This window comes from Homo sapiens, chromosome 1, assembly GCF_000001405.40.
Source record: "Homo sapiens chromosome 1, GRCh38.p14 Primary Assembly".
In the NCBI taxonomy this organism is placed as follows: Eukaryota; Metazoa; Chordata; class Mammalia; order Primates; family Hominidae; genus Homo; species Homo sapiens.
The window spans coordinates 193,250,650-193,260,329 of NC_000001.11; the positions used below are offsets into that span (position 1 = coordinate 193,250,650).

The 9,680-nt window shown below is 33.9% G+C and overlaps 1 protein-coding gene across 1 annotated transcript in view; it reads left to right on the forward strand.

Moving 5' to 3' along the window:
- CDC73 (cell division cycle 73) overlaps positions 1–4,166 on the forward strand; it is a 132,785-nt gene extending 128,619 nt beyond the window's left edge. The window contains exon 17 of the mRNA NM_024529.5: positions 27–4,166. Coding sequence (NP_078805.3) covers positions 27–63 — 37 coding nt within the window. The 3' untranslated portion in view covers positions 64–4,166. The remainder of the gene's footprint in view (positions 1–26) is intronic.

Here is a 9,680-nt window from a genome sequence, read left to right on the forward strand (position 1 = left end):
ATAACCTACCATAATATTTTTTTCAGGTACATGGTAAAGCATAAATCGCACTTGAGATTCTGAATTATTTGGCTCCTCCATTTCTGGAAATTGAGACTCAAGCTTTATGAATTTATCAAGAACTTAAAAATGAAGAAGGTCACAGATTGATCTTTTATAAGACCTTATTTGATGCTTTGTGCTTCAAGGAGATGATACCTGTCATCCATATAAGCAAACTTTTTGGCTTACAACTATTTTTTTAATATTAGCCTTCTAGTCTGTAATGGAAATTGTATATTTTGATAGAAGTTTTTTCTCCATTGGTTAAATTAGCATTACTTAAAATTTGTTTCTTTAGAAAATAAATGCAGGTTATAAATGTGTGTATATTTAGAGATTATAAGGCTCTCTGAGCCATCTTCTGATTTTTCATTGCTCTATAATTCTTTTTACTGAAAATACTATGTTATGAATGGTATTAAATTTTAGTCTCTGGAACATCCAAAACCAAGCAAAGGGATGTGACTATTTTGAATGAATCAGAATGTCAACTTGTATGTACACTATATCTACACTTACTCATTATTTAAAAAGAATAATGAAAAATCTAGATCAATTCTTCAATTTGATTGAACTGTTCAGCCTTTTCAAGATTTCTTTATTTACAAATGATTACATTTAAATGAATGTACATTCTTCTCACTGACTTTGGTGATTTTGAAACCTAGAATGATGTGTTTCTATCTGTAATATCTTTCCATTTGAAAAAAATCTCAAAACACAGATTAAAACCACAATAGGCTGTAGTATTTTTTATTTTGGGAGCCAGAGTATGATTTGGGGGAAGAATATGTATCAGCCCTATTGCAGTATAACTTTAAGCTCCTTTTCTCTTTAGTCCACTTTTGATTGTAATTTTTATGGTATAGGATTTTGAATCTTCTATTTTAGGCTTGTCAGTCTTGGAGTTCTTATCTTCCATTATCCCTAAATATTGATAAACTCCCAGGCACCAAAGAAAACATTTGCTTAATTGTCTGAAAAGAAACAAGAGAAAAACACTGGTATTTTTATGTCTGTATTCAATATGGTATAAAATATAAAAACTATATTTTAACTTAGTGAAATATTTTACTATTTCTCTACTTCAGACAAAATGTTGCATCCAAGGTACATCAAGTGACCATTTGCCTTGAACCTTGATTTCACTTTGTTTTTTTTTTTTCCTTAAAGGCAACTAGGAAGCTTTACTTTCCTAAAGTGTTTTTGCCATTGGAATTTTTGCTGATCACAGTCTTATGTCATTTTTTTCTCTGTTTTTATTCCCAGCAATTTTCTCCTAGGTTAACATATTTTTGGTGAACGTTTAGGCCTTTCATAGGTATTAAGCTGACATTATCTAGCTTCTTAATGAAATTTAACACTGTCACAAAAATGAGAAGTTATTATTTTTTAAGTGATCACATAGTTCATACCACTAGTAACTAGAAAAGATATTTATTCACATGATATTTACAAGGCTCTTCAGAAGGGAACAGTCAGCATTTTAAATTACTAGATTTTAGCATACTTAACAAGGTTTGAACAGATTCTACCCCTATTTTCCTCCCTTTTTAGCGTCTTCTTTCCTTAAAGATAAAAGAAAACTCAAATTTGTTTACATTAGGCTTTCTTAGCATATAAATATATTTCCAAAATAAATTACATGTTGTGTAAACTTTCTCCATGATGAAATAGTCAAGGACCAGAATCTGTAATATTTTTATGTAAGATTACTTGTCAAGACTACTACAAGTCAGTATGAACTACCTTCCCATAAAGATTTTTGGTATTTGTACTTATTTATGAACTTTACTTGAGACAGAATATGGTTAAAATTAGGAACATCTACTTTGAATGAGGTTTATTTTTCTATTTTGAATTTGCCTTATGTATATTCAAAGGCTTATGGAAATACTGTAAAGGAACATTAGGAAAAGGACAAATAGGCTATAACCATCTATCTTAAAATCAGACCCTTAGTATAAGCACCTCTTTTTCTTTTCCTCTTTGACAATTTAGTCTCTTATTTAGGTCCATGTAATTAATTTCATTCCATTATTTTTTAGCTGTTTATTCTAAAAAACAAAAATTTTCAGCCACTCCCATTTATTCTCCCATGACATGGTCCTATATAGCAGTACTTAACACAGTGCCTTGCACATAGTAGGCATTCAGTAAATACTTACATGCATGAATGAATAATGTATTTTCAGTGTAACAAATTTATTATAAAAGTGTAGTTCGACTCTTCTTGGTCTTGGAGTTTGAGAGTACAGAATTACAGGGAATGAAGAGAGGTATAAGTAGATATTTTAATGGAAATGAAGTATAAATTAATAACTTGACTTACCCCTCCATAAGTTACTGCTAACTGGAGATACCCTTGTATGCCCAACCTGTAAAGGAAAAAGTTCTATTTCTATATTTATAGGACATTCTTCTCAGTCAAGGAACAGTAAGAAATATGTAGGTTTCAATCAGTTGCTCTCAACCCTGACTGCATTTTAGAATCATTTGGAGAGTTTTTAAAAATATCCATGCCTGAATCTTGATTCCCATTTTCATGTAATTTGAGACAAGACCTGGTCATCAGTATTTTTTTTAAAGTTCTCCAGGTAATTTGAATGTGCAGGAAGGATTCAGAATCACTGGTTTAATTTGTTATTGAAAACAGTACCAGTATTAAATGTGTTTCCTCTTCCTTCTTTTCTGTATGTATGTGTGGTTTTTGATTTTTTGTTGTTGTTGTTGTTTTGTGGCCACCCTTTGCACTAGACCATCCCTTTTATTGGTGGTATTGGCCTATATTCCCATTGACAAATGCAATTTTTAATTATTTATTTAATATAGGAGTATTTTACTGTTTAATATTTAAACAATGTTTAATGTATTTCATTATTAACTAGTATTATAGTTTGTTTTTTTCCCATGTCTCCATAACTTTTACTAACATTTGTTTTTAGCAGCACAACAGTAATCCATATAAAAACAACTAATTCATAATGAGGAAAATCTCATAATTTTTAAGGCAGAAAGAAGTATTAATTTTTGATCTGCCATGTAGAATGAGACAAATACAGTTTGCTTATGAAAGGAAAGTGGCATACTTTTAAATTGGTCTACACAGAAAAGTAAAAGTAAACTATTCATTTAAATAAGATTCATTATCTAATAAATATTGAGGGAATATTTTTCCTAAATAAAAATTTTTCTGACTGCTAACAAAAATTAAAGTGATTACATTGTTCTTTTTTGGAGGGGTGGGGAGGAATATTTGTTGAACTAAAGTATATAAAATTTTTTGAGACTAGCAGTATATTTTATAATATTACAAATACAACAATTATTTATAAAAGCTAGTCAAATTAATGGCTTAGAAAGTAGCTGTAAACTTTGTGTTTTGAAATTGCTTGTTTAAATGCAAAATTATGAGTAAGATAAGTCTTTTTAAATTTTTTATTTTTAATTTTTTTGGAAGTTTATTAAAGCCCTTCATATACACATACTTTTTAAAAAAAGATTCTTAATAAAGAAATTATTGGTTTGTCTGGTTAAAGTCCATATAGAATGCTGAGAAATAATTTATAAAATAAGAACTATAGAAATTTGTTCTCAGCTGAAAAGTTGGCAGCTGCTCTGTTTCTTTAAAAAAGTACAACATGAAAATTTAATTACATTAGCCTTAATATTACTTGACTGAATTTCTACTATTTATTCACTTGTGTTTGAGATTCACCCAGCTATTCTAATGATAGAAATAAAAAGTGGAGAAATGACTAAAGTTGACTTAAGTTAAGAATTGGAGTGGGAATTTTGAAATGCCATGTCCTATATATTCTGGCATATTTGTTGGCACATTTGCAAGTATGTTGATCCCAGCATTGTTTATATCTGTTGGAATAATAACTAAGGAAAAATTGAAAATGTATAATAGATGTATAAAGATTTATATTTAGTTAGTATATAATAGATAATACTTGCAGGTTTTTTATGTGTTTTGGGTTTCTGTGTATTATTTTAGGTAATCTTTATAAGGGCATCTTGGAAGTTATAAATATGTGCCATTTACTGAAAAGTGGGAAGCATTTTTATATGAGTAAAGCTAATGAAATAAAACTAGTTTTATTGCCAAAATTCAAAAAGTGGGGTTCATGCTATGTCGAATTTAAGCAAATGATCTGTCTGAGGATTTTGTTTGCCATTGAATTCCATTTCTGTCCACTTTAAATTTACTAAAAGCTATTTAACCTGAGTTTGATTATAATGCTTCATAAGTAATGCAGTTCATGTACATAGAGTAAGTGCTGTAAGTGATTTTTTAACCACCAGTTGGTGCTGTTTCTCAAAGTGGTTCTTAATTAGAGTTTAAGTTTGGGTGCCATGTGAACTCATAAAATATTCTACTCATTCTTTTTGTTTTTCTTTGTTTTGTTTTCTTTGTTTTATTTTTCATTCTGTTTGTTTTTCTTTGTTTGTTTTTGAGATGGAGTCTCACTCTGTCACCCAGGCTGGAGTGCAGTGCTGCGATCTTGGCTCACTGCAGCCTCCACCTCCTGGGTTCATGCAGTTCTCCTGCCTCAGCCTCCCGAGTAGCTGGGATTATGGGTGTGCACCACCACACCTGGCTATATTTGTATTTTTTAGTGGAGACAGAGTTTCACCATGTTAGCCAGGCTGGTCTTGAACTCCTGACCTCAGGTGATCCACCTGCCTCGGCTTCCCAAAATGTTGGGATTACAGGCGTGAGCCACCATGCCTGGCCTGTTCTGTTCATTCTGATTCCAGTTTGGTGGGCTCTTAAATTTTAGGTTCAATTGTAAATAAAACATGTTGCCCTATTTTGTTTTAAGAGCACTAGGGACATTTCCATTCTCCCTTTGTCCTCAATCCCCCAAAAACATTCATACGAAGAAGTTAGAAGCTGTATTGTGGGCTGGAATGCTATCTTTACATGAAAAGATTATTGGGATTTGTCAGGCATAGTATTTCTCTGAGGAATAAATGAAATATAAATTTCACTTTGGAAACTAATGAGTTAAAACCATTTACAGTTTCTGTTAACGAGTTAAATAATGTATAGAATCATAGTTCGTAATGGTAGCAAGTTCATGCTCTGCTGAACTTACTGTTTGATTATGGTCAAATTTTCTATGTTATTATTATAGTAGAATTAAGAGTGTGTCCTGGTAAATTACATTACCTTCACAGTTTGAGCATTCTGATTTTAACATTTTGTAGTTTCAAAACAAACTGTACTCATATAATCAGAGCATTAACAGCAGCATCATGTCAGTGGTACCAATAATTGTGAATCTTCTGCAACAAAATTTCTTTAATGATGAGTTTAATGGGCTATATTCAAACCTAATTTTTATTCAATTCATAAGTGCCCACTAAATATGTATTTTATTTCTGCTGTTCTGTTCCTTTGATTATCTGCTTTTCAGTGAGCATCTGCATAGCTAAAATAGATATAGCATGTGTTGTAAATGCTGTTGAATTTTTTTAAGGCTCAAAGGTGCTAGTATATAAATAACAGCACATTGCCAAATAAGCATTTTTTCTTTCATTTTCTGAAGTACTTTCATATTTACTCATGTAATTATCAGCATTTATGGTGAGTTGGAATAATTTTTCCTCTTTATTTTCTTAAATGACCCTAGAAAACAATGTAAAGTAGCTCTGAAGAAGGCTTTGTTGTTGAATCTGTCTCATAATTACTTGTGGATCCTTTGACACAGAATTATTTATAGTTTATAATTCACCCTCATCTAGAGAATGATGATTTCTATTACATAAGTAATGTAAATAGAGCTGAGACCATAGTGAAGCAGAAGACATTTGGGAGATACTTTTGATTACATTTGGATATTTTATTGGACTATGATTATTTTGCCAACAAAGTACAAGTCAAAACATTGGGTTATACAACATATTCACTTTAATAAAATATAGTAATGGATACTCACAGAAGAACTGCCTTCATGGAGTTCACAATGTTAATACTCTAAGTGTAATGGCCATCTATTTCTCTCTTTTTAATAATACAAACATTTTTCTTTAAAATGGAATAGTTTGAAAGTGTTTATCGAGTCAGTGTAAATGGGGGGAGATCAAGTGAACTTCCTTGTGGCTCATTCAGTTGTTTTAGCACAATTAAGCATCACTAATGTTTTTAAAGGGCTTGACTATATCACAATTTTAAAATATTTATATTTTTAGATAATATATTTTTATTCCATAATGCACTACTGAGGACAAAAAGGAAGTGTAAGGGTCACTGATGATGAAATAAATTTGAGATGCATTAAAGTAGTTTAAGGCTAAAGCAGTTTGATGTAGGAATTTGAGGAGAAGACGACTTCAGCTTAATGGGAAAATACTAATTTGGACAGCGTTATATGCTTCTGGGGTTGTCATGAATTTAAGAAAAGCTAGGCAAACCTAGTGTGATTTTTCTCCAGTGACATTTAGTTGCTTGATTTCAGGTATAGAGAATTGCAGTTAGATTTTTAAGCTATTTTGATGGCAGTAGAAGCAGGCCAGGGAGTTGGAGATATTTTCAAGGTAATAATTGTAGTACTGAAACATGGAATCTAAGCTGTTCAAGGAATACATGATAGAGGGAAGGTGGTGAATGGTGAGAAAGTGGTGCTGTCCTGTGAACTGATAACAACAATGAAGTGAGCCTGAAAGATAGGGGGAGGTGGTCAGAGGATGGGATGTGTGAAGTCAAGACTTCAGAGGTGATCTGATATTGATGAGAAAAAGTCAAGACCTTGGAAGTAACTGAGATAGAGAGGGTGAGGTATTCATTAAAATGAGGAGTCAAGGATCTATGGGGCTGCAATTACTCGTGTAAGTGTTGAAATGAGAATGACAAGCATAGGAGTGAGAAGAAAGATGGCAACAAGGAGAAGGTAACCGGTGACTGGTTGGCATTAGCTTTACAGGATCCATGCTTTAAAAACTTTGATTAGATATTTAAAGATGAATATTTAAAGATGAAAATATATTTAAAGATGAATTAATAAAATGTTAAAGGTATAGATCATTTCAGTGCCTTTCTCCAACATCCAAATTGTTAAAGAATTACATACTTGTCCCATTAGCCCAGATGATGAAGACTTTTACTAAGACACTATTGACAGCCTTCCCACCCTCTGAGTCTTGTTTTCTAAGTTTGCTCTCATGTGAGGCTAGTTCTTGTATTCTTTGCTACTTTTGTCGCTTAATGATACTGAAAGTGGTTAAAACCTTTGTTGGAAAATCTGAGCTATGCCCTCTAAGGTTTCATTAAGTGCTGGGGTCACTTGCCCCAGTTGGGGGGTCACTTCCCCCAGTTGTATGTGCAATTCATTACTAAGAGAGAATATCCTGAGCAGTTCCCAATGGTGGGTGGCTGGCTAAAAGGAATCCCTGGAGATTTTAGTGTGGTAGGAAAGCATTTTCATTCTTGAGGATTTTTCTTTGACTTTTCTATGGGCTGGCTGATTTCCTCAGTTTGCTTTGTTCTGGGTTTTAGGGGAGAATTCTTGGGAGGTTGTGAATTTTCTTTGCCTACAGTGAGATGGTTAGATGCTATTCTGAACTTTATCTAGATCTTACCCAAATCCATTTCCATGTTAGCAAGCATGAAGTTGTTTACCTTTTCTTTTTTGGCGATTGATGTTGAGTTTTTCGTTCTCACTCACTCCCTTGCCAGTTCCTTAGATGTTATGATCCAGCTATGACCCAGCTTTACACTTTCTTCACCCAGAAGTGACCTCACCTTTTCATGACAGAGGAAACAGAAGCCATGGACTTCTTAATGCTATATGTCACAAACCTGTATGCATGTAAGAATCTTTTATTTCCTCGTATTCCAGTGTTTTAAACATCCTGTCACCCATCAGGGACTTGTCCTTCATATGTATTTCTCCTACACCTTTCCTACTCTGTCATGCATTTTGCACTATTACTGTATCTCTTTCTTGTATTTTCATCTTGTCACCCTGTATTTATTTATTTTCCACCCACTTTTAAACTTAGTTACATCTTTCATGGTAAACAGGTTCTAGGGAGATGGTTTGATTATGTATCTTAAATTCCCTCCCCTCAATCTCTGTTTCCATCTGCCAACTACCCTGTCTTGAATAGAGCAGCTGCTGTGAGCCTGGAGCCTTTGGGCAAATAAGAGTGTATACAGTCCCTTGATTTTACCAGAAGATGGGAAAGAGAGCTTGCTTTGATTTTCTTCCTGTAATCCAGATGAAGGTTTAGAGACGGGCAGCTGTGAAGCCTTCAGCAAAGGTCTGAACGGAAAGAACCTTGCTTTCAAAGATACATGGATTTAGAGGAAAAGCGGTGCAGTTCATATGTATGGTACTAGGAAGACTAGCTTCAGAGTACCTGTTTGGTTGCTGCATGGTGGGCACAATTCCACATCTCCCTGTGAGGCTGGGGGAGGGGAAGTAAATAGCAAAAAAACAAAAAAGACATTGGAAGAGATTTTCCTCCTGTCATCTGTGATGAGGAGTGGCAACTTGCTGGTTAGTAGATAATCAGCCTACAGAAGAGAGCTGCCTTCTATTGCTCACAAGTTTGTTTCCGCTCAAGAGTATCCCACAATTTGATTTATGCTAAATGGGGAGTGAGTGGACAAAGAAGAATATCTAAGGAAACCTAAAGAAAAATAGCATCTAGAGAGAACAGGAACACAGAAGAAATGGATGGTGAAAAAGAATTGCTGGTGGAGATGAATGACAACTTTAATTTTGAAAAAGCACCTGAGAAAATTCAGTCAGTATAAAATAAACTTTCTAGCAATTAAACTACATTAAAATGTGGTAGAAAAAGAGAGGCATGGCCACTATTGGGGACTAAATAGTGGCCTTGGATATCATGTAGAAGTAGTTATCTTTGGAAAAGTAAAAATCCAAAGACACGGAGATTTCAAAAATCAAAACACCTAGAAGACGAGTCTAAGATATTTAATGTGAGTAAGTGAAGAACCACAAGGAGAAAAAGGGAAACGATACAGGAGGGCACAATTACTAAATACTATAGGAAACTTTAGTTCGAAAGGGCTCTCACTCTAATAGGTTCCAAGCAACATGGGTGGGGTTGGAGTGTGGGGACACACCTAGGCAGATAAATTTCATTCAAATATTTATTGTTACTTCCTGCAGTGACAAGTACTGTTTTAGTTGCTGGGAATACAGGGTGAACAAAGCAATGTTAGTTCCTTTATTGGGTGGAAGGAAGTAAATGAATAAATATGTCTCAGGTGGTAATAAGTAATACAAAAAAAAAAATAAAGCATAGTAGAGTGACTAGGCTATGTTGGGATAAGGTAGTGGCAGGATTTACTATTTTATATGGATGGTCAGAGACATCTCAGATAAGATATTTGATCAGCAATTTGAAGTGAGGTATCTAGTGTGGTAAATATGTGGTGGTGGGGGGAGAGCAAGGGCAGGGGGAGCAGCATTCCAGATAGGGAACAGGAGGTTTAAGGCAGGCAGGAACATACCTGCCATTTAAAGGACCATTAAGGAATCCACTTGGCTAGTGTGGAGGGAGCAAGAAGAGTGAGCAATGAGGGCAGAGGCAGTAGTGAACAAGATTACGGAGCTTTGTAGATGAATGGAAGCCTTTTTGGCTTTAATTTGCTG